General features: G+C 37.0%; 1 protein-coding gene across 3 annotated transcripts in view; it reads left to right on the forward strand.

Moving 5' to 3' along the window:
- The window catches only part of USP9Y (ubiquitin specific peptidase 9 Y-linked), a 159,609-nt gene that overhangs the window by 28,216 nt on the left and 105,432 nt on the right, over positions 1-25,961 (forward strand). For all 3 annotated transcript variants that reach the window (NM_004654.4, XM_047442772.1, XM_047442771.1), the window contains 5 exons: positions 6,166-6,281; positions 6,552-6,803; positions 6,965-7,103; positions 8,711-8,863; positions 10,079-10,183. In NM_004654.4, coding sequence (NP_004645.2) covers positions 6,166-6,281; positions 6,552-6,803; positions 6,965-7,103; positions 8,711-8,863; positions 10,079-10,183 — 765 coding nt within the window. The remainder of the gene's footprint in view (positions 1-6,165; positions 6,282-6,551; positions 6,804-6,964; positions 7,104-8,710; positions 8,864-10,078; positions 10,184-25,961) is intronic.

The raw sequence follows: 25,961 nt of genomic DNA on the forward strand, positions 1-25,961 counted from the left end.
TTTTTATTTTTTGAGATGGAGTTTCGCTTTTTCACCCAGGCTAGAGTGCAGTGGTGTGATCTAGGCTCACTGCAACCTCCACCTCCTGGGTTCAGGCAATTCTCATGCCTCAGCCTCCGGAGTAGCTAGGATTACAGGTGTGTGGCACCACGCCCAGCTAATTTTTTCTATTTTTAGTAGAGATGGGGTTTGACCATGTCGGCCAGGTTGGTCTTGAACTCCTGAGCTCAAGTGATCCACCTGCCTTGGCCTCCCAATGCACCTGGCTGATTTTTCAGTTTTTCTTCTGCTGTTGATTCCTAGTTTCCTTGCATCCTGATCTGGAAAGATAGTTTGTATGAGCTCAGTCTTAAATATGTTAAGATTTGTTTTGTTTGTTATGTAATGTATCCTGATGGATGTTCTAAGTGCACTTGACGAGAATGTTTATTCTGCTACTTTTGTGTAGAGTGTTCCATAAATGTTTATTAGGTCAACTTGTTCTCTAGTGTTGTGCAAGGCCTTTTTTTCCTTATTTTTTTTTTTGGAGACAGGGCTTTGCTTTGTCACCCAGGCTGGAGTATAGTGGTGCCATCTCAGCTCACTGCAATCTCTGCCTCCCAGGCTCAAGCTGTTCTCCTGCTGTGTAGCTGGGATTACAGGCACCCGCCACCATGCTTGGCTCAGTTTTGTATCTTTAGTGGAGACAGAGTTTCACCATGTTGGCCAGTCTGGTCTTGAACTTCTGATGACAAGTGATCCTCCCACCTCGGCTTATTGACATTTTGTCTGATTGTTTACTGATTATTGGAAATATGGTATTGAAGTGTCTGACTAATTTTGTATAACTTTCTCTCTAGGTCTCATAATGTTTGCTTCACACAGTCAGCAGTTCTGAAGTTTGGTGTATGCATATTTATAATTGCAGTGAATTCACCCTTTTATGATCATATAACATCCTTTTTTGCCTCTTGTGAGAGGATGCTACCTAAAATTTATTTTGCTTCATATTAGCAAAACGTTCTCTTTTAGTTACTGTTTGTGTGGATTTTTTTTTTTTTTTTTTTTTGAGACAGAGTCGCTCTGTTGCACAGGCTGGAGTGCAGTGGTGCAATCTTGGCTCACTGCAAACTCTGCTTCCCAGATTCAAGTGATTCTCATGTCTCGGCCTCCCAAGTAGCTGGGAGTGTGCACCACGATGTATGTACCACCATGCCCTGCTAATTTTTGTATTTTTAGTAGAGACGGGCTTTTGTCATGTTGGCCAGGCTGGTCTCAAACTCTTGACCTCAGGTAATCTACCCACGTCGGCCTCCCAGATGTTTTGTATTCTTAGCTTTCAAGTTGTGTGCATCCTTATATTTAAGTGAGTCTTTTGTAGACAGTTTATCTTGGATTCTGTTTTTGTTTTTTAAATCTATTCTGCCAATCTGTATCATTTGGTTGGGAAGTTGAACCTACTTTATATTCAGAGTAATTAGTGATAAAGAGGATTTACCACTGCCATTTTGTTGTTTTCTGATGTCTTACAGCTTTTTTTCTGTATAATTTTCTTACCTACTGACTTTATCTTCATAATTTCAATTCTTCAGATTGTCTTTTACAGACATGTTGTGATTCTTCTCATTTCCTTTTAGGCATATTCCATAAACATGTTTTTCCTGGTTACCATGGAGATTACATAGGGGCATACCTTGGAGATAGTATTGCAGGTTGAGTTCCAGACCACTGCAATAAAGCAATTACCACATTGAAGGGAGTTGCACAAGTTTTTTGTTTCTCAATATATATATAATTTTCACTATTCTTAGTCTGTTAAGTATGTGGTAACATTACATCTTTAAAAAATGTACTCACCTTAATTTTAAAATGCTTCATTGCTAAAAAATGTGACATTTTACAAATTTCACTTCTTAAAAAAAAACTATCTGCAAAATTCAGTAAAGCAAAGCGTAATAAAATGAAGTATGCCTGTATATTATTATAATAGCTGTAACAGTCTATTTTAAACCCATACCAACTTGATTTCAGTTGCATACATAATGTCCTTTACACCTCACCTGCTGCAATTTATGTTATTGATATCACAAATGATATATTTTTATATGTAATACAGACATAAGTTTTTTAATTCTTTGGCCTCTCAAATTCTGTAAGAGAATAAAAAGTGGAGTTATTAGACAATTACAGTAATACTGAGTTTTACAAATGTTTGTATGTTTTTCTTTACCACAGATTTGGTAATTTTTTTTTAATACATTGAATTATCACCTAGGGCCCTTGTATTTCAACTTGCACGCCATTTAGCATTTTTGTAGTCTAGTGGTAATAGACTCTAGCAGCTTTTGTTGGTCTAGAAATGTCTTAATTTCAAGGACTGTTTTGCCAAGTACCAAATTATTATTTGATAGTATTTTCCTCTCAGTACTTCCTAATGAGCACTCAGCTGTTAGCTATTTTTGAGGGTTTTGTTGTTGTTGTTGCTGCTGTTGTTTTGTTTTCATTATGTGAGGAGTTACTTTTCTTACTAATTTCTAGATTCTTTCTTTTTATAACGTTTTTTGGTGGTGGTCTTTGGGGGTGTGCCTTCCCTAGAGGTACTGAGCCTTTTCTATTTGTATATATCCATGTCTTTCCTCAAATATGGCACAGTTTTGGCCACTATTTTGGCCACTATTTCTGCATGTGAGACCTCTGTTTCTTTATCTTCTGCTTCTTGGACGTTCATAATGTTTGCATTTTTCCAAGTGGTGGTATTCCCTAAGTCTCTCAGGCTATTCACTTTTGACTTCTTTTTTTCTCCACTTACTCTGATTTTAAATGACCTTTTCTCAAGTCGTGATTGTCAGTCCTGCCTATTGATGTCTTCTGTTGAGCCCATCTTGTTTCCGTATTTTCATCTGCAGAATTTACGTTTGGTTTTTTTGTTTGTTTGAGACAGAGTTTTGCTCTTGTTGCCCAGGCTGGAGTGCAATGGCGCGATCTCGACTTACCACAACCTCCATCTCCTAGGTTTAAGTGATTCCCCCGCCTCAGGATTCCACGTAGCTGGGACTACAGACACGCACAACCATGCCTCACTAATTTTTTGTGTGTTTAGTAGAGATGGGGTTTCACCATGTTGGCCAGCATGGTGTCAGTCTCCTGACCTTGTGATCCGCCTGCCTCGACCTCCCAAAGTGCTGGGATTACAGGCATGAACCACCACACCTGGCCACCCGGCTACTTGTATTTTTAGTAGAGATGGGGTCTTCTTCTCCATGTTTGGTCAGGCTGGTCTTGAACTCCTGACCTCAGGTCATCTGCCTGCCTTGGCCTCCCAAAGTGCTGGGATGATAGGATTGAACCACCACACCTGGCCCTGTTTCTTTATTATTTTTTTTCTCTGTTGACATGTTCATTTTATTTGTATATCATTTTTCTAATTTTCTTTAGCCTCCTTTTTCATTAGTTCATTAGGCGTATTTGACTTTTTCTTAAATTATTTTATTTTATTTTATTTTTGAGACAGAGCCTTACTCTGTCTCTCAGGCTGGAGGGCAGTGGTGCGATCTTGGCTGACTGCAACCTCTGCCTCCCTGGTTCAAGCGATTCTCTTCCTCAGCTCCCCCTGGCCCCGAGTAGCTGGGATTACAGACGTGCACCACCATGCCCAGCTAGTTTTTGTATTTTTAGTAGAGATGGGGTTTCAGCATACTGGCCAGGCTGGTCTTGAACTCCTGATCTCAGGCGATCCGCCCGCCGCGGCCTCCCAAAGTGCTGTGATTAAAGGTGTGAGACACTGCGCTGATATTTTAAAATGTTTGTCAAGTGAGTCTGGCTGTGTTTCTCCAAGGACAGTTTCTGTCCTTGGACAGAAAAAAAAAAAGATTTATTTTATCTTGTCTACTTTTTGTAGGCTGTGTCATCTTTTTTTTTTTTTTTGAGACAAAGCCTTGCTCTGTCACCCAGCCTGGAGTGCAATGGCACCATGTCTGCCCACTGCAACCTCTGCCTCCTGGGTTCAAGCAATTCTCCTGTCTCACCCTCCCAAGTAGCTGGGATTACAGGCTCCCACCACTATGCCCAGTTAATTTTTTGTATTTTTATATTATTATTATTATTATTTTAAGACCAGATTTCCCTCTTGTTGCCCAGGCTGGAGTGTAATGGCGTGATCTTGGCTCACTGCAACTTCTGCCTCCCAGGTTCAAGCGATTCTCCTGCCTCAGCCTCCCGAGTAGCTGAGTTTACAGGCACCCACCACCATGCCAGCTAATTTTTGTATATTTAGCCAGGGGTTTCACCATGTTGACCAGGCATGTCTTGAACTTCTGACCTCAGGGGATCCACCCACCTCAGCCTCCCAAAGTGCTAGGATGACAGGCATGAGCCACCGTGACTGGCCTCCTGAGTCATTTTGAGCATTTGAAAAAGCACTTATATTCCCCAGTCTTTGTGAACTGGCTTGGTACAGGGGAATTCCCTTTATTAATCAGCTCAGCTTGCAGGCTTAAAGCCTGCTTTAACCTTTTCTAGGTATTTGTCTTTCTTGAGACTTTCCGTGAGTCTTTTTTACCCATGTATTTCACATGGTTCTGGTTATTCCATTCCATGATGGTTGCTGTAAAAATTTCCCAATTCCTCCATGAGCCTCACCTCTGTTTATTTTTGCTGCCTTACCTGTCATGTGCATTCTTCATTCAGTAGTTCGCCTCAGTAGTCTACAGGTTTGTAATTCCCTTGGAGACTTCACAAATTGTCTTCCCATGGCTTCTAGTCGGAGTTTTAAGCCACTGTTGGCCCCTTGCCCTTCAGGTTGAGTATGCAGAGACTAATCCCACAGGCAGCCTGCAGACAAATTTAGAATGTTGTAAATCTAGCCCTCTTGATTCCTCCAGTTCATACAGAACTGGTGACCAGATCACTGGTTCTGCAAACTGTACCTTGGTAGGAAGGGAGTGGGCAAGGATAAGTGAAATAACACAAAATTGCCTGTTCCCTTTGAATATGGCTTTTTCTTGAACTGGGCATTTTCTTGATAGCTGTATACTTTTGACTGATTTTCAGAATTGCAGTGAAGTTTTTTCTTTGAACAGAAACAAGGCTTTGGAGTGTTTTAGTCCACAATCTTGCTGATGTCACTCCATGAACTGATTTTTTAAATAATAAAAAGGTAGGAAAATATAATATTATAGTAAAATCATTCAGGAATATATTTACCAAAGCTTTTAAAATTCAGTTTTTCATCGTATCAAACGTAGGATTAGAGTTATACAAGTGTATTCTTTAAAAGTTATTTTTTATTTCACATTTTCCACATGTCCTGAATATGTTTTTCTGTTCAAACTGGAGAAATTATTTCTCTCAAGATTGGTAGTATGGTCAGACATGATGGCTCATGCCTATAATCCCAGCACTTTGGGAGTCCGAGGTGGGTGTATCACCTCAGGTCAGGAGTTCGAGACCAGCCTGGCCAACATGGTGAAACCCCATCTCTACTAAAAATACAAAAATTAGCTGGGTGTATTGGCAGGTGCCTGTAATCCCAGCTATTCAGGAGGCTGAGGCCAGAGGATTGCTTGAACCTGGGAGGCAAAGGTTGCAGTGAGCTGAGATCATGCCACTGTACTCCAGCCTGGGTGACAGAGCAAGACTCCGTCTCCAAAAAAAAAAAAAAAAAAAAGAGGAGGAAGAAAAGATTGGTAGTAAAACATCCTTTGTTCTCTACTCCCTCTTTTTGATTTTTCTCCTAAAACTTGACTCTAGAAAATGATATAAAAATCTTTCATTTTACCTTATTTCTTAATTCTTAGTTTATTCATTCTTTTCATAACTTCTGAAGTCGTTAATTCATATTGCATCTTAACGTTTAGAGATGTTTTTAGATATACAACCTTTACCTGATTCTTACTCGTACCAGATACATGAGATATAAACAATACCAGTTGTGTCCCCATGAACTATGATATAATTTCTGCCTGTGCTGTGTCCAGCTGAAAGATATAGAAAACAAAATACAATATAAAAGGTTTAAATCTCTGTAAGTATATATAGTAAACATGTCTTGTACTCTTTTTAAAGATAATTTAGTATAATTTTTTAATTAAATTTTCCATTTCTAGTATGCTTCACACAAATGCGTTTCAAATAGTAACTTTTTTTCTGAAAGGGGGGAATTAATTTTTATTATTAACTGTATTACAGGGTTGGCTAGTGGATCTCATCAATAAATTTGGCACATTAAATGGGTTCCAGATTTTGCATGATCGTTTTTTTAATGGATCAGCATTAAATATTCAAATAATTGCAGCTCTTATTAAGTAAGTTATGTTTTCATGTTTGTTAAATAATTTCATGTTTGTTCAAATAATTGCAGCTCTTATTAAGTTATGTTTTCATATTCTGTGCATTATACAAATTACTATTTTATTTACTTAAAAATCATTGTTCATTTTTTTCAGTGTGGGTTGTGTCTCACTGTAAAATGAGGACCTGTTTTTGTGTGGTCTTAAATGTTGAAAGTAATTGGCAAGTTTAGTTCTTTTAAAAAACATGAATGTTACAGAGGTTTTGTGTCCTTCGTATTTCAGACCATTTGGACAATGCTATGAGTTTCTCAGTCAACATACACTGAAAAAGTACTTCATTCCAGTTATAGAAATAGTTCCACATTTATTGGAAAACTTAACTGATGAAGAACTGAAAAAGGAGGCAAAGAATGAAGCCAAAAATGATGCCCTTTCAATGATTATTAAATCTTTGAAGAACTTAGCTTCAAGAATTTCAGGACAAGATGAGACTATAAAAAATTTGGAAATTTTTAGGTTAAAGATGATACTCAGGTAAGATATTTTCCACCTTAAATTATTTGTGTGAATTCTGATATAACATTTACTCCAAATTTCTCTCATTTATGGTTGTAAATTTCCTCTTTTAGTGGAAAGATGAATGCACTGAATGAAATAAATAAGGTTATAACATTTACTCCAAATTTTTCTCATAGATTGTTGCAAATTTCCTCTTTTAATGGAAAGATGAATGCACTGAATGAAATAAATAAGGTTATATCTAGTGTATCATATTATACTCATCGGCATAGTAATCCTGAGGAGGAAGAATGGCTGACAGCTGAGCGAATGGCAGTAAGCCTCTTAAATCTTTTATTGTGAATAAGACACTGCTTATGGAAAATTACATTATTACCAATTATTGTTAGAAGCAACAATAGCAAAACTAAAATTGAAAGATTTATGACTAATTGTAAGATCTTTTTATAATAATAATAAAAGGTTTAATAAATGATTAGTTGTTTGAAACTGTTGAGGTAACTTAATTGTTTCTCAGGTAAATTTATTATTTTTGAATGTAGCTTTGATGTAAATAGATGGCTTGGTTGAAATGAAATAGTAAGATGTGATTTTCGGAGGGGTTGAGTGGATCTGCAGTCTGGTGAATGAACTAACGTAGTGATCACTTCCTAATTCCATTTGAAGATTAATAAATAGGGATTATAACTAATGGGATAATTGAGTAGTGCTTTATCATGATTTTAAGAATATTAAGATTAATTTCTTTTTTTTTTTTTTGAGACAAAGTCTCACTCCATCACCCAGTCTGGAGTGCAGTGACACGATCTCCACTCACTGTAACGTCCGTATCCTGGGTTCAAGCAATTATCTGCCTCAGCCTCCCAGGTAGCAGGGATTACAGGCGCCTGCAACCACGCCTGGCTAATTTTTATGTTTTTAGTAGAGATGGGGTTTCACCATTTTGGCCAGGCTGGTCTTGAACTCATGACCTCATGATCCACCTGCCTCAGCCTCCCAAAGTGTAAGATTAATTTCTTAATAATTTCATTTTAAAATCACTATGTATGTCATTTTGACAGGTAATGAAACTGTTTACCATAGAAATTTTCATACATTTTAGTTTCAAAATAAATAGCAAATACTTCACCAAAGTATTAAAAAGTCTTTTTTTGAGTGTATGTGGTTTGCATAGTGGAGATCATTTCTGTAGAATAAGCTTTACCATAAAATAACCTTCAGGTTGCTAGTGGAAAGGATTAGAATGTGAAAAAAGATATGCTAAGGACATTTGGGTGGTCTTAATAGTGTTTACCTTAGACCCATGCTCATACTCAGTGCTGGTGGTCAGGTTTTATGTATGCAATTTGCCTGCTTTGTGGAATGTTAAACAGAATTACTCAGTATATTCACTAGTCCTTGAATTATTACTGGTTCTTGAGAGACACCAACATTGAAAGTATTTAGCAAAATTTGACATTGTTGTGGCACTTTTATTGTATTTTACAGAAGAATCTAAGATTGGGAATATAAAACTGGTTGTTTTCAATGGATAGTGTGAGAAGTGTACTGTTGTATCACATATGGGAATCTTTATTTGCAGAAGTAAAATTCTGTAAAATTATTTATGTTAATGTATACTAATTGCAGATTACAACACCAAGGTAATTCATTATATTAGTGAATTATAATTTGTGAATCTAGTACACCTATGGAAAGATTTTATATGCCAAATTTTGTGAAATAAGTTATTTTAGTGTTTAATTTTGAATTAACACAACACTTAAATGTTACACTACTGTGCTGTAATTTGTGAATGTATACATAATTTGGACTTTTGAATTCCTACTTAATATTATTTAGAAGTTGGAGACATGTTTTTATTTCGCTTTTTAAAAAAATTTCTTTTTAGTTTCAGCATTGAATTTTTGTATTACATTTAGGAATGGATACAGCAAAATAATATCTTATCCATAGTCTTGCAAGACAGTCTTCATCAACCACAATATGTAGAAAAGCTAGAGAAAATTCTTCGTTTTGTGATTAAAGAAAAGGCTCTTACATTACAGGACCTTGATAATATCTGGGCAGCACAGGTAAGAAAGTGAGATGATAGCTATTTTCTAAGAAAGATACCAAAAAGGAGAAAATTTTTGGTAACCCTTATATAATGGCCAGCAATTTAGTATTGCCTGACTTTTACTAATGCATGTGCTGTTCATGTAGAGAAATCTTACCAAGAATTTTTAAACAAAAAATAACATTTTTCTGTCTTTGTATATATATTCATGGTAGCAGCTTATAGGTAGTTTTTTTGGTTTTTTTTGTTTTGTTTTGTTTTGTTTTTAGATGGAATCTTGCTCTCCCTCCCAGACTCGGGTGCATTGGTGCAATCTCAGCTCACTGCAAGCTCTGCCTCCCAGGTTCACACCATTCTCTGCCTTACCCTCCCGAGTAGCTGGGACTACAAGCGCCCACCACCAGGCCTGGCTAATTTTTTGTACTTTTAGAAGAGACAGGGTTTCACCCTGTTAGCCAGGATGGTCTTGATCTCCTGACCTCGTGATCCATCCTCCTTAGCCCCCCAAAGTGCTGGGATTGCAGGTGTGAGCCACTGCGCTTGGCCATACATGGTTTTAAATGAAAGATCTATATAGCAAAATAATTATGATTAAAGGAACAATTATTGAAAGAGGATAAAGAATCTATATTTGGAGGTTTTCACCTATGTAATGCATAGAAGAAACAAATGTCACGAGTTCCATTACAGTGACTTTAAAAAACATACGATTATTATAGAAGATTATGACTTTCCATAATAAAAAACCCTGGTTTCAGATATACTAATGCATATGTTTTTATATTATCTTAATGGCAGGTTTCTACTCCTGGGTCACTTGGGGAGTATTGTTAGGCACTGGCTCATAAAGCTTGTTTTTTGCCTTTTTTTTAAGAGAAACAACAAAATACTTAATCTTGCTTTTATTGAGCACTTAAGCTTGGAGTTTTGAAACAATCTAATATTTTGACTTCTTTTTCTCTTAGTTTTATTTGTAAATACCTTCTAGTAAGTTTTCATATTAATTTCCGAAGTTTACTATTTGTACCCAAAAAAACTGAGTTGCCAGGTATTAAATGACAGTTCTAAAGCATTTCAAATATTAAGAATTCTGTTAATTACTCAAATGAAGTAGGAATGTTTATTAAGTAATGGAGATTCTTGTAGTAGAACTATTTTTTTGTTATTAAAATTTAAGTATACTATAATTTTTTTTTTGCTTTTATTTATTCTACTTTTGTTTTTTCAACAGGCAGGAAAACATGAAGCCATTGTGAAGAATGTACATGATCTGCTAGCAAAGTTGGCTTGGGATTTTTCTCCTGGACAACTTGATCATCTTTTTGATTGCTTTAAGGTAGTAGCTTGAATAGTAAAGTATTGCCAAATAGTAAATATTGCCAGTTAATTCTAAGTAAAGTTTAATTCGTTAGATTTCTTTTGCTTATAGCTAGTGTGCTTAACTAACATTTTCATGGAAGAATCTCTGATGAAAAAGAATTGGTCATTGTTGTTTCTTCCAATCAGAGTTTAACAGTAATTTGTTGTAATAGTTTTCATCACAAATGCAGAATCTTAATGTTTTTTCACTTACATTATTTCTTTGAATTCATTTCCACTGGTAATTTTCATTTTGACTTTGGTTAAAATAACCTGTAGAAATGCAGAGAATAATTGGAAAATGAGGCATAAAACATTCTGGTTCTATGGAGTTATGTATATGGCATATAGAAATGAAATTCAAAAAACAAGAGGTTTCTAATATCATAATGTCACTTTTAAAGACATTTTGGCACAATGGTCTCGCTGGTTTTTAAGGTTGATGAATTTATGGATCAAGAATATAAATCCATATGTCATTATTCAGGAATAAATATTTCAGTAAATAGTAATTAGATTTTTGGTGGGAGCTTTACTTGCTAATTACAAGAGAGAATAGGTTGGCATTGTTCTTTTAAAATGTAGATTCTTACGTTCTATCACCCAACTATTCTATTTCTGAATCTATGCCCTGGGTAAACTCCTGAATATGTTCACTAAGGAATGTTTTCAACAGTATCTTAGCAGGATTGTTTTATTAGTCCCGAAATGAAGGAAACAACTTAAATGTCTATATATTATGAAAGGATAAGTAAACTGTGGACTCCTTTATATGGAACACTTTGTGACAATGAAAGTTAACACATTGTAACAGTTTGGCACATAGATGGATCTTGCCATTATGGAGAATATAGAAAAAAGGAAGAAAATGATGTACAAGAAGTCAGAAGTGACCTGGATAATAGTTTCACAACTGTTACACTTTGAATTCTGACTACACCCCAGATGTGTTAAATCAGAATTACCATGTAAAGGGACTAGACTTTTAATCATGTCAGCATAATAAGAATTTATTTGAGATGACTATATGTTTTAATCTGTTGGATGTATATCAGAGGTAGGCAAGGACATCAATATTGAGAAGTTATATTTGATACTCTTTATTTCCTATTGTTTTTAGTCCTGAGATAACTTCTGAAACAGTGATGCACCAAGACAGCCATAATAATAGATGGAGGATCTGGTGTCAATTTCTCTCTTTTTTTTTTCTCCCTCTCCTTTTTAATTCATAAATTCTCAAGATGACTTCAAGATAATTAAAATAAAAAATCTATTATCTGACTGGGAACGGTGTCTTAGGCCTGTAACCCCAGCACTTTGGGAGACTGAGGAGGGTGGCTCACATGAGGTCAGGAGTTCGAGACCACCTTGGACAACATGATGGAACCCCATCTCTATTAAAAATACAAACAGTTCTCTGGGCATGGTGGTGCATGCCTGTAATCCCAGTTACTCTGGAGAATGTCTTGGACCTCGGGGGCAGAGGTTGCAGTGAGTCAAGATCACACCACTGCACTCCAGCCTGGGTAACAGAGGGAGACTGTCACAAAAGAAAAAAAAAATCTGTCATTTCTGTATTGCTGTTTGGCTTACCTATTGTTTATCAAAAGTCTGTTATTCAGTGACTAGCATTGCATTTTTGAGGTGTTGGTAAATCTGGCAGTTCTTACACAGCATGCCAGTGTGTCTTCAAAGGTCTTTGTTAAGGTGCTTTTAAGGAGGCAATGAGTATACGCCAATTATCAGTTCTTCGTGGGCTGCAGCTGGATGATTCCAAGTTTATCTTTCTTCTCAGTTACATGTAGTTAATGTGCTTGCTCAAACTCTAGGTGATAAAGATTTGAATTCTAAGTAAGCCTTTGTCTTCTGAGGTGTTGGTACTAATTTTCAGTGCTTGCCAACGTTTATTTTTGGCATAATTTTTCATTTTTGAAAGTCCCATGGTTATGAGATTCTCTTTGTGGTCATCAATTTTAATATTTCTAGATACTGAGATTGAACATTGTTACAGGTCTTTGAGCTGTTCTCACTTCCTTCTTAGAATATGTCTATTTTTCCTGTCCAGTAGTTGTCCTAATTTGTTTCCTAGGAGTTTTTGTGTATCTAAATGCTTATTGTTCAAACCGTATCACAAATAGTTTCTCACAGGTTTTATTAACAGTTTGTTTGAATCAGGATCTAACTACATTCCTCACTGTCTAGTTTTCTATCTTTTAATCACTCCTCTTTGATTCTGTAGTTGCCTCCTTACATTTTTTTGTTCTTGTAATAATATTCATCATTTGCTATTTTGTTAGTAGTTTCTGTATTCCTTTTGTTATTTCAGTGGGAATTTTGTGGACACCAGAGGGAATTAAAAGCAGGTGTTACAGTTGTCTTCCTAAGAAATTCTGTATTTATCATTTTAAAGTGCTGTACAGTTACTAGGTTAAGGTGATGTAGTCCTTTCTCCTATTATTGGACATTTAAGTGGATTTCAGTTCTTTAGTTCTAGTGTGTCCAGAATTTATTCCTTCCTGTGGGTTCTTGGTCTTGCTGACTTGAAGAATGAAGCCACAGACCCTCCTGGTGAGTGTTACAGCTCATAAAGGTAGTGCAAACCCAAAGAGTGAGCAGCAGCAAGTGTTATTGTGAAGAGCGAAAGAACAAAGCTTCCACAGGGTGGAAGGGGACCCAAGCCAGTTGTGCTGCTGGCTTGAGTAGCCAGCTTTTATTCCTGTATTTGGTCCCACCCACATCCTGCTGATTGATCCATTTTACAGAGCACTGACTGGTGTGTTTACAGTCCTTTAGCTAGACAAAGAGTGCTGATTGGTATGATTTTACAGAGTGCTGATTGTTGTGTTTACAATCCTTTAGCTAGACACAGAGTGCAGATTGGTGCATTTGCAAACCTTTAGCTAGACACAAAAGTTCTCCAGGTCCCCATCTGAACTAGAAGCTCAGCTGACTTCACCTCTCACTAATAACTACTAATAAAATACTACATATAGCTTCCTCTGTATTGCTGGGCATTTAGAACACTTGTTTTACTTTAATAAATTAATTTTTTATACTAAGAAGATTGTAGATTCACGTACCATGTTAAGAAGTAATGCAGAAAATCCCATATATTCTTTACCCTGTTACTCTTAGTGTTAACATCTTTAAAAATCACTGCAACCAAGATTTTGATCACTACCAAGATTTTGACATTGTTTCCATCAAGATACTGAACATCTGTGTCATCACAAGGATTCCTCATGGTGCCCTTTTATTGCAACACCCGCTTGCCTTCTGCCCCAACTTCCTTCTTAACCCCTGGCAACTAACCAGACCGCCAGTCGGCTCAATTTCTAAAGGTCTTTTGCTTTTACTTTAAACATGTACTAACTGGAATTGAACATAATATGGACTTTTGAGGTTAGTTTTTTTTTCATTCTATTTAATTGTTTGCAGTCTCACTAGAATGATGTATGTATCTATCAGGTTGAGTATCCCTTATCTGAAATGCTTAGTACCAGAAGTATTTTGGAATTTTTTTTTTTGGAGCATTTGCCTCATACTGACTACTTGAGCATCTCTGCATTAAAAATCTGAAATCCAGAATGTTTTTATTGCTGTTGTTTTTTGAGATGGAGTCTCACTCTGTTGCCCAGGCTGGAGGGCAGTGGTGCGATATCAGCTCACTGCAAGCTCTGCCTCCTGAGTTCACACCGTTCATCTGCCTCAGCCTCCCAAGTAGCTGAGTAGCTGGGACTACAGGTGCCTGCCACCACACCCGGCTAACTTTTTTGTATTTTTTTTCAGTAAAGACAGGATTTCACTGTGTTAGCCAGGATGGTCTTGATCTCCTGACCTTGTCATCTGATCTGCCTGCCTCAGCCTCCCAAAGTGCTGGGATTACAGGTGTGAGCCACCATGCCTGGCCCAGACTGTTTTAAGGAGCATATCTTTTGAGCATCATGTCACCATGCAGAAAGTTTCAGATTTTGGAGTATTTAAATTTCAGATCTTCACATTAGGCATACTGTATCTGACATTTGCTTCCTTTATTGACGAGTAGTACTCATGGTATGAACTACTCACCATGAATGGACATCTGTATTATATCCAGGTTGGGGCTATTATAAACTGCTGTGAACCTTGGTGGGCAGGGTTTTTGGCTTTTTTATGTTTTTATTTTGTGTTTTAATGCAATGCTTATTTCTCTAGGTGAGATGAAATGTGGAAATGTTGCAGTCTTCCTAATGCTGTGAACCTTGGTGGGCAGGGTTTTTGGCTTTTTTATGTTTTTATTTTGTGTTTTAATGCAATGCTTATTTCTCTAGGTGAGATGAAATGTGGAAATGTTGCAGTCTTCCTAATGCACCTTATTGTAGCATTTTCTCATTTTCTGTATCAGTACCCCATGTTCTTTGTCCTGTGTCCAAGAAAATTAAGGAACGTGGACACAAAGGTGGGATTGGAGTGAAAATTTAATAAGTGAAAGAAAAAAGCTCTCTTCAGCAGAGAGGAGTCCGAGTGGATTGCTGGGTTATAGCTGAATTTAACAGCTTTTATAAGAAGCTCTTCTCATCTCTGTAGCAGTTTGAATAACTTCTATTATCAGTAAAGCTGTCTGTGCAACTCCTCTTATCTTAAGCAGTTGTGGATATGTCTCTAGGCAAGCACAGAGTGCCACTTCTCTTCTTGATATAACTGAGGGTTTGTTTTCGATAAGCCCCTCACCTCCCTGTGTAAGTTCTCACCATTTGTATGCCTGAAAAACTTTTTCCTGGGAGCTGACTAATTATACAAAGTTGCTTACCTATGTGCAGGTGCAGCCTGAGGTTTTCCAAACTGATTTTTCCTTTGCTTCTCCCTCATTCCCTGCTTCAGGAGTGGAAACCCTGACTGCTGTTGGGAAGATTGGGCATTGATCTTTCTGGTTAATTCCTGCTGGAGACAGGCATTGTGTGGGGAACAGAAGCTAGGATTCCTCCAGGAGATGGTTTAAGGCACTCAGATGAAAGAAGTGTTTATGCCTGGTTCCATTTGCATTACCATTTGGAGCTTGATAGCTTCTAAGTGAAATGAAACAATTTGGGTTACTAGTGGACATATGTTAAAATGAGACAAGAAGTGGGGAAAGACAGCATTAAAATCCTGAGGCTGTTGACATGCCCTGATAACTGGTGGCTATAACTATGCCTGTTAAGATTTTGGGTGCATGGGGCTAGGCTTTGTTGAGCTTCCTTGGTCTTACTTTCCCAAAATGGAAACGTCTGGATTATAGGTTACCTGGCAGCATTTGTAGGATAATCGCCCTGAACTAGAACATTGTTCCAGATTTTTACGTTACATATCCCTTTCTGTTTCCTGTGAGCTGCAGCCAGAGATGGCTGGTTAGTTTACAGGAATAAGCAATGTTAGTTTAAAATGTAGGCAGGAATGTAAAAACTACTAACGAAACTAGAAGTCAATGACAGATATGTGATAAGTTTGGAACATAATTTCCCTTTTTTCAGTGCTCATTTCTGTTAAAAACAAATTCCAGTCCTCATTTCTGTTAAAAACAAATAAGATTGAGTTGTTTGCAAAATAGACTTTAGTTTTAAAGTTGGTCTGAGATTTGCATAAAATGCAGGAAGAATAATTATTTTTACACAGGCCTTTTAGATAGGCTTTGATGGAACTTTCTTCCACAAGGACTCTCAGATGGGACTTTGAAGCTGAGCCCAGCCACGGGTTTGTACCCTCAGATACCTGTGACTTAGGTAAACTTTTCTTTTCTTGAGGTTCCAAGAGCATGGTGTTCCTAGGGCTGTGAGAAAGTGAAATTTGTTACTCACCGCAGGTTAGGAAGCTTATATGGAAGCTGTGTAGACAAGGTGTGAGGCCACTTTTCCCAAAGGGCTTTTATTGGCTCTGCAAGTCAAGACTGACTCCTTCAGTGGAAACAAACCCTCCAGTCAAAACCTTGGTAAAACAACCAGTTTTTCAAATTGTGTGCAAAATAAAATGGATTCTTACTGCACTGACGCAAACAACCATATTATAAGTCAAGAATACTTACAACAAGTATCTGAATTTTAAAGGAACCAGGCAGAAAGAAACAAACATGCTCTAAACCTTGTTCACAAGAGTATACCTTACTCAGTTGTTAGTCTGTAGCTAGCTCAAGACAAGTTTCCTTGACTCTGAAAAACAAAATAAGGATCAGCACTGTTGTAAGCATAAACCAAAAAGATTGCTTTAGTTTTCTATTAGTTCAGTCCATTCTGTTAACTATTGTTCTGCTTGATATTTGTAAACATTTCAGCTTTTCGTAAGTCCTGTACATTTTTCTGTTATGAGAAACCTGCATTTGAGAGCACCTGTTAAAGTTCCATAGCTGATTATAAACTATTTTTTTGAAGAAGATTCAAGCAAGACAACAATTGTCTGTAAAGACAAAATGTCCAAGGTGGTTACAGTCAAGAACATGATTGACAAATGTGATTATTTCCATGACTTAAAATAACTCAACATAACAACCTTAATTGCAATTAACAGCACATACTCTGGGCCTAGAATCTTGGATATCCCATACGGTTATCCCATCAGCCTTTATTATTATATGGAAATCCTGTTGAAGAGAGAAAGTTAAAATTTCACCCTTGCATTAGTTTACTATTAATTTATTTAGCCTCAGTTTTTAATGAAACATTGTAGGCACTCCTATTCAATTTTAACCAGTTTGACCATGAGGTGAGATTTTTGCAAACCTGTTATAACCCTTTACAAGTTTTGCTAAAGAGCAGATTGGGATCTTAGGAATACCTTGTTGTGCTTTTATTTCAATATTTAATTTACAGAAAAAAACAAATACCCTTTTTAATTTAGTTAATATGTTCATACACAGTTTCCTTTGTAAGATTAAGTTTTGCAATCTTTTTCAGTTTGCTTAAACCTTCCAGTTTATCTAATTTAAGACAGTCCTTTATTCTTAGGCACAATGTACATTTCCTTGCTTTCTTATAATCTTTTACTAAAAACATATTTTACTGTTTTTATATACCTTGCATGTAGATCTATTTCCAGAGTTTCAATTAGATGTCAAAACGGTAACTCTAGGAATTTTTTTTTTTTTTTTTTTGAGACAGAGTCTCGCTCTGTTGACCAGGCTGGAGTATAGTGGCCTGATCTTGGCTCACTGCAAGCTCCACCTCCCTGGTTCACATTATTCTTCTGCCTCGGCCTCCCGAGTAGCTGGGACTACAGGCGCCCACCACCACACCCGGCTAAGTTTTTGTATTTTTAGTAGAGACAGGGTTTCACCATGTTAGCCAGGATGGTCTTGATCTCCTGACCTCGTGATCCGCCTGCCTCAGCCTACCAAAGTGCTGGGATTACAGGCGTGAGCCACTGTGCCTGGCCCAGAATGTTTTTATTTTTAAAGATGAAAGTCATGTGAACTGAAAGGTACCACAAGCTTTTGCTTTTTCTTTAAAAGTATTTAAGTGCTTATTTACTTAGGCCAATTAATTAGAACTCTTTTTATAGACATCACATACATATCACATACATGACTACACAGACAGAAGAAGATCCAACAGCTTAGAGTGGAGCCCTTTTAAGAGCAGTCTAGGAATACAGTCTCCTGTGCCTAGTAAACAAGCATAGCTGGAAGACAAAGACAGATTAGAAGGACTTACCACCTCTAATTACAGGGGTTGTATGAAGAAAACAGAAATTTCTCCCCAAATGAGATGTGTTGCACCTTATCTGTTTTCTCAAGGAGTCCTGGGCCACCAGAAGTCATTCTAGGGTCTTTCATGCATGCACCAAGAGTGGCAAGACAGAGTGAAAAAAGTTGACTGAAGAAGAACCTTTTGCAGAAAAACAAGATCTATGAAAAGAAAAACACCAGGGCCTTTTAAATACACCCATAGCTTAGAGACCCACTTTCAATTAAGTTGAGTGCTCTTTAAAAAAATTCTTTTTCATTAATTAAAACTTTACAGAGAATGTAAATAGTGATTCTTACTTCTTTTACCAGTTTGCTTCACTTCCTGTTCACAGTCATATTCGGGTTCCCAGTTTTCTCTGGGAGAAAATGGCTGGACTTAGGCAAGGGCAGGTTTTCAACTGGACAGGAGATCCCTTTAGCAGCGAAGCTTGATATTTGAGGAGGCAATTTGTCTGTTAGCCAGAACCTTTCCTTGGAGGACAGCAGTTCTTCTATTTTGTGTGGGGTGGTAACAGTTAAATTAGGCTGGGCATGGTGGCTCACACCTGTAATTCCAGCACTTTGGGAGGCTGAGACAGGGGCAGATCACCTGAGGTTAGGAGTTCAAGACCAGCGTGGCCAATATAGTGAAACCTCATTTCTACTAAAAATACAAAAAAATGAGCCGGGCATGGTGGCACATGTCTGTAATCCCAGCTACTCGAGAAGCTGAGACATGAGAATGGCTTCAACCCTGCAGGCCGAGGTTGCAGTGAGCCGCACTGCGGCACTCCAGTCTGGGCGACAGAGCCAGACCATGCATCAAAAAAAAAAAACAGAAAGAAAAAAAAGTTACTCCCCATGGTTAACCCATTGACCTCTAGCACTAGCAAGGCCACACTGTAACTGCTTGCAGGTGGGCTGACCATCCTTTAGCCACCAAGTTAAGTTCCTTGCTTAAGTAACCCACTGGCTGTTGAGCCAGACCTCAAGCCTTAGTTAAAAATTCTAGGGCCATTCCTTTCTTTCCTGATACATAGAGACTGGATGCTTTCCCTGTGGGAAGACTGAGGGCTGGTGTTTTAAGTAAGGCTTATTTTAGCTGGTTAAAGGCTTTTTGAGTCTCAGGGTCCCAAGTTGTGGGGGTGAGTTTTAACTGTTTGAGTTTCTTTTATGAGGTAATATAAAGGGAGAGCCATTTCCCTGTACTCAGGTATTCACAGTCTACAAAATCTGGTAATACCTATGAATCCCCTTAACTAGTAAAGAAAATAGACTCAATCCTTTCCTTACCTACTTCTCTGGTCCTTTCTGTTGAGACTAGACCTAGTGACTTTACTGAAGTCTGACAGAGCTGAGTGTTAGATTTTTAGACCCTATATCCACTTTAAGCTAAGAGATTGAGGATAGCCTCAGTGCCTTCCTGAGACATCCTTAATTAGGGCACAGAGGAGAGGGTCATTTATACACTGCAAAGTTTTTACTTGAGGGTGAGAAAAACTAGATTTTTCAACAGAGTGTTTCATTAATTTCCTTCCCATTTTAGGAGCTGCCTGAGTAATAAACCAGCAGAGAAGGAGGTGTGTTTCACTAAAGCTTTTCTCATCCTTTCCAAAAATGCTGAAGGATTTTCATCTAGTTTTTGATCTATCTTGGAAACCTTAGAGCAGTTAATAGGTTTGGCTCTAATCCCCTGCAAGTCCTTCAGCATACACATTTGTAAAAGTTTCCATCTCCATTTTCTGATGTTATCATCATAGTCCCATTTAGAGTTCTTTAAGGTCACTGGTACTTTTCTCATGGCTTTCCCTTCCCTGGAACATCCTTCATGGAGAATTTAAATACTTGGCTTACATCCTGGAAGGCCTTTATATGTGAGTGAAATTGGGGCTTTCCCAGAGTGAACTTTAGGGTCTGAGGATTAAAGGAGAACCAGTCTGCAATCAAGGGGATTGCAGGTGTGAGGATGGGGTATTATATATCTAGAAAAGAGACAAGAGAAGAGGCATCCCTCAGTCTCTTCAGTGACCCAGAGTGGAGAGGAAGACAGTGAGAGCAGCACCCCCACCCACTGCCAACTGTTTTCCCTCTTTGGTTACTGTGTCCCAGCACCATGTTGAATGTGCCACCCCCAAACCGTGATACCAGAGGAGCATAGCAGTGGGGTTAGTCATGCTTACCCATGTGGCCTTAGTGCTCTGCTGGTGATAACCCTTTGACCTCCTAGACTTGTGTGGTCTGTGTGACTCCTTGATGGATGGGTGTGTATAGTATGCTGGTAAGAGTTTTAGATTTACTTTTTTCATGTGAATATTCAGTTGTCCAAGGAGCATTTGTTAAAAGATTGTTGGGAATATTGTTCAGCATCTTTGTCGAAAATAAGTCAATCATAGATGGAAGTGTTTACAAGCTTTATGTTCTGTTTCATTGTTTGGATATATCTGTCGTGAAACCAGAATTGCATTGCATTGATTTGCAGCTTTATAGAACATTTACAAATTATGAAGCGACAGTTCTTCAATTGTGTTATCTTTTAAGATTGTTTTGGCTATTCTAGGTCCCTTGAACTTCCATATTGGTTTTAGCATTAGCTTGTTGATTTTTGCAAAGACATTAGCTGGAATTTTGATAAACCTTATTCAGTTTGTATTGTACTACCATCTTAACAGCATTAGTCTTCCAATCAGGGAACATACAATGTCTTTCCATTTATTTAGGGATGTCTTTCCGTTTATTTGGGTCTATCTTACTTTTGTTCAGCAATTTTTTTTTTTTAGTTTTCAGTTCAACTGTGCTAAAGTGATACCAAAAGAATTTTTTGTTTTTGTTGTGAATATAAATGGAAGTTTTCCTAATTTCATTTTGGATTTTTTAACATCTAATGTAAAGAAACATGTATCTTGTATGTAGAAATACAGTTGATATTTGTTTATTGATCTTGCATACTGAAACTCTGTTACATTTCTTTCTTGTAGTAGTTTGTTATTGACTCTTAAATTTTTCTATGTATGGCATCATATTGTTTGCAATACAGTTAGTTTTACTTGTTCTTTTCCAATTATATAACTTCTCCTTCTGGCCTGATTTCCCTAACAAGAACTTCTAGTACAATGTTAAAAGTAATGGTGAGAACAGTCATTTTTGTCTTGTTTCTGATTGTAGTTGGCAAGCTTTCCATTTTTCAGCATAAAATACAATGTAAAAAGGAGGGCTTTTGTAGATGCCTTTTATTGGGTTTAGGAAGTTCTCTTCAAATCCTAGTTTATTGAGTATTTTTATCATGAAAGGATATTGGATTTTATTAACTGTCTTGGTATATGGAGATGTTACATGTGTTTATGTCCTATTTTACATTAGTTGATTTTTGTATGTTCAGCCAGGTTTATACTTCTCGAATAAATTATACTTGTCTTGGTGTATAATCTTTTTTTATATGTGTTGCTTCTTAAACTGCAATAAACGATACTTGTTATGATCTATAATCTTTTTATTTGTTGCTGGATTTTCTTTCTGTTTTGTTTAGGACATTTTTAGGTTTTTAAGAAACTGCCAAACTGTTTTCCAGAATGACTAACCTTATTCATTTCTACCCATAGTTTATGAATATGAATAATCCAGTTTCTCCACATTCTTTCTACATTTTGGTATTGACACTATTTTTTATTTTTTATTTTTTATTTATTTTTTTTTTTTGAGATCACAGGAGTCTCACTCACTCTTTCGCCCAAGCTGGAGTGTAGTGGCACAATCTTGGCTCATTGCAAGCTCTGCCTCCCAGGTTCATGCCATTCTCCTGCCTCAGCTTCCCAAGTAGCTGGGACTACAGGTGCCTGCAACCATGCCTGGCTAATTGTTTTATATTTTTTTAGTAGTGACGGGGTTTCGCCATGTTGGCCAGGGTGGTCTCAATCTCCTGACCTCGTGATCCGCCAGCCTCAGCCTCCCAAAGTGCTGGGATTACAGGCGTGAACCACCGTGCCCACCCCAGTGACACTATTTTTTAAACTTGTTTTATTCTGACAGGTGTGCAGTGAAATCCCATTAATGGTTTTAATTTACATTATCCTAATGACTAATGATGTTGAAGATCTTTCATATATTTAGTTTCTATGTGGAGTTTTTGGTGAAATGCCTTTTTATGTTTTTTGTTCATTTGCTAATTTAAGTTTGTTATTACTGAGTTCTTTATGTAATCTAGATGATAGTCATTTATTAGAAACACAGTTAGCAAATATTTTCAAACAGTCTATAGCATATCTTTTTGTCCGCTTTAACAGGTGTTTTACCAGTTGAGTTTGTATTCTGATGAGGTCCGACTTATTTTTTCTTAGAAATCATGCTTTTTTATGTCAAATTCTGAGCACTTATTGCCTACCCATAAATCCTATTTATTCTTATATTGTTTCTCTAAAAGTTTTACTTATGTCATTCAGGTCTGATCCAGTTGAGTGATGCTTTCTTGCATTCTTTAGGTGTGAGACTTAGATCTAAACTTCTTTTTCTTCTCCCAGGTATTCCAGAACCATTTTGTGAAAGGCTGTCTTTCATTTTTAATTTATTATGTTGCTCTTGTACCTTTTTCAGAAATCAGTTGGTCACATTTGTGTGGGTTTATTTATACATTTTTTGTTTTCTTCATTGATCTTTGTTCCTGTGCCTCAGAATTGTGATTACTGCAAGTACATAATGTAGTATTAAAATCAGGTAGACAGACTCATCCCAGTTTATCTTTTTTTCAAATTATTTAGTTGTTTTTAAATTTTGCTTACCGTAAAAATTTTAGATAATCTGATCTTCATTTTAGATATCTGCTTCCCAGTAATAGGAGATACACTGTTTTAAATAGTAGTACGTAAATTCTGTATATCGGTTTGGGGAGAATTTTGGCATGGATTTTTGAGCCCCAGAATACTATATACCTCTTCATTGATTCAGACCTTTGAATTATTTATTCACACATACAAACCTTATACATGTTTGGTTAAATTTACAGTTAAATGTTTATGTGTCTGGTTTTACTTTGAGTAATTGTGAATGTTTTTGATGCTGTGTTTATACATTTATTACTACTCCTGTATAGGTTTGATTTTTATATGTATATTCCATGTCCTGCAATCGTGTTAAAGTCCATGAGGCTTTTTTTTTCTCTTTGAGGATCCTTGCAATTTTCTTTTATATAGAAAATCATACCCCTGCACGTAGGAAGAATTTTGCATCTTCCTTCTCCTTGTGTGTGCCTGTTACTTCTTTTTCTTGCCTCATTATGTTGGTTAGAATTGCCAGTATAAAGCTCAATAGAAGTGGCTAGAGGGAGCAATTTAGTCTTGCTTTGATCTCATGGTAAGAAAACTATCAGTGTTTCATTGTTAATAACGTTAGCCTGGAGCAGTGGCTCACACCTGTAATCCCAACACTTTGTGAAGTTACGGCAGGAGGATTGCCTCAGCCCAAGAGTTAGAAGCTACAGTGAGCCAAGATCTCACCCTGTCTGTTTTAGAACAGAAAAGCAAGTACAGAGGGAATAATGTTATCTCCCCCTTTTTTGTAGATGCCATTAATTGGTTTAAGAAAATTGCATTCCATTTTTGTTCTGAGACTCTTTGTCATGAATGGATGTTTTGCCAAGTGTTTTTTTCTGTATCTGTTGCTGTGATAGTGAGTTTTTTTTTTTAGACATGGTCTCACTCCGTCACCCAGGTGAGAGGGCAGTGGCGTGATCACAGTTCACTGCAGCTTTGACTTCCCGGGCCCAAGCTATCCTCCTCCCTCAGCGTCCTGAGTAGCTAGGACTAAGGGCACACCCTACCACACGAAGCTAACTTTTTTTCTAATTTTTATTTTTACAGAAGTGGGGTTTCACTGTCATGCCCAGGCTTGTCCTCCCAAACTTTCGCCTCCTGTCACTGGGATTACAGGTGTGAACAGCCATGTACAGCCCAGTTTTTCTTTTCTACCCTTTTAATGTGGTGGATTACAGTGATTGTTTTTTGATTAGTTAGTTAGGCCTGTATCCCTGGAATAAACCATACTTAATCATATATCATTATTATTGTGTGTTTTTGACTTTCCTTTTCTAATAATTGTTAAGGAATTTTGCATTCGTATTTCTGAGGGATGCAGTCTGTAGTTTTCTTTGTAATGTTCAGGTTTTGCAGTCAGAACATTACTTACTTTATAAAATATTGGGAAGTGTTTCTTCTTTTTTTCCTCACTGAAACTATCTGGTCTGGTGATTATTTTGGGGAGTTTTAACATTACAAATTTAGTTTTTCATAATAATTGTTCTTTTAAAATTGTTTATATTGATTGAGTTCCTGTAATTTGTTTTTAAGAGATGTGATATATTTTGTCTAGGCTGTCAAATTATATATTATTTCTAGTGTTCCGTATTGTTTTTTGATGTCAGCACAGTCTGCAGTCATAGCTGTTTTATTACTGATGTTAGTAATTTGTGTATTACCTTTAATAAGATTTTGTTTTACTCACTGCGCTAGAAGTTTAATTATACATCCTTTTGAAAAGACAAGTCTTTGTTTAATTAATTTTCTCTGTTGTTTCTTTTAAAGTTTATGGATTTTTGTTAATTCTTTAGTGTGTCCTTTATTCTGCTTTCTTCAAGCTTGTATTGCTCTTTTTTTGTAGTTTCCTAAAGTAGGAGTTAAGATGATTCACTTCAGCATTTCCTCTTATCTGTGTGTTTGGTGTTAGGAACTCCCATCTTCCACTATGTTTAAATGTTGCATATTTTATCCAAATTTTGCTTTTTTTGACAAGCATATATATGCAAACAGGCTTATGTATATGTATATATATATATGCCTATATATATACATATATACCAGTATAATATACATATTATAAATATATAGATATACATGTTGCGTGTGTGTGTGTGTGTGTGTGTGTGTATGTATTCCTTCCAGACAGGGCCTCAATCTGTTCGCCCAGGCTGGAGTTTAGTGGTACAATCACACTCACTGCAGTCTCAGCCTCCCAGGTTCAAGCAATTCTCCCACCTCAGGCTTCCTGAGTAGCTCAGACTATAGGTATGAATCACTATGTCCAGCTAATTTTTAAATTTTTTTATAGAAATAAGTCTCACTGTGTTTTTTAGGCTGGGACTCAAACTTGCTTGGCCTTAAACTATTGGGCTCAAGTGATTCTCCTTCCTTGGCCTCTCAGAGTGGTGGATTACAGTCATGAGCCACCATGCTTAGCCTCAATTATATTAATTTCTGTGAAGATGACTCTTTGAGAACATAGAACTAGGACTTGAACAACAATTAATAGGAGGTTTTCATGTCATCGTAATGTAATTGATTTATACTTTGATTCCTGTGTAATTATATGATTTTCATTCTTAAATTTCCTGAGGTTGGTTTTGTCACTGAAGAGGTGGTCTATCTTGTGTGTTTTCTTTTGTAGGAACTTTGAAAATAAGGTTTATCCTGCTGTTGTGTGGAGTGTTCTATAAATGTCAGTTAAATCCTGTTGGTTGATACTTTCGTTGATATTTTTGCAAATTTTCTGTGTAGTTCTGTCGTTTGTTTAGAGAGGGTTGTTGATGTCTCTCTAATTATGATTTTGTCTCTTTTGCCTTTGATTATCTTAGTTTTTGCTTCATATATTTTGCAGTATACACATTTTGGTGTATACATGTTTAGAACTGCTGTGTCGTGTCTTGATGAAGTGATCCTTTTTCATTGTTTAGTGACCTATGACATTTTTTTCTTGTGCTGAAATCTATTTTAATCTCATTAAAATAGCTTTTCTACTTTCCTTTAATGTTTGCCGGTTTTATCTTTTTGCATTCTTTTGCTTTCAACCTGTTTTCTTTCTTTTTTTTTTTTTTTTTAAGAGAGGGAGTTTTGCTTTTGTTGCCTATGCTGGAGTGTAATGGCGCGGTCTCCGCTGACTGCAACCTCCGCCTCCCAGGTTCAAGCGATTTTCCTGCCTCAGCCTACGAAGCAGCTGGGATTACAGACGCCTGCCACCATGCCCGGCTGATGTTTCTTTATTTTTAGTAGAGACAGGATTTCTATATTGGTCAGGCTGGTCTCTAACTCCCAACCTCAGGTGATTC

Source organism: Homo sapiens, chromosome Y (assembly GCF_000001405.40).
Source record: "Homo sapiens chromosome Y, GRCh38.p14 Primary Assembly".
Taxonomy (NCBI): Eukaryota; Metazoa; Chordata; class Mammalia; order Primates; family Hominidae; genus Homo; species Homo sapiens.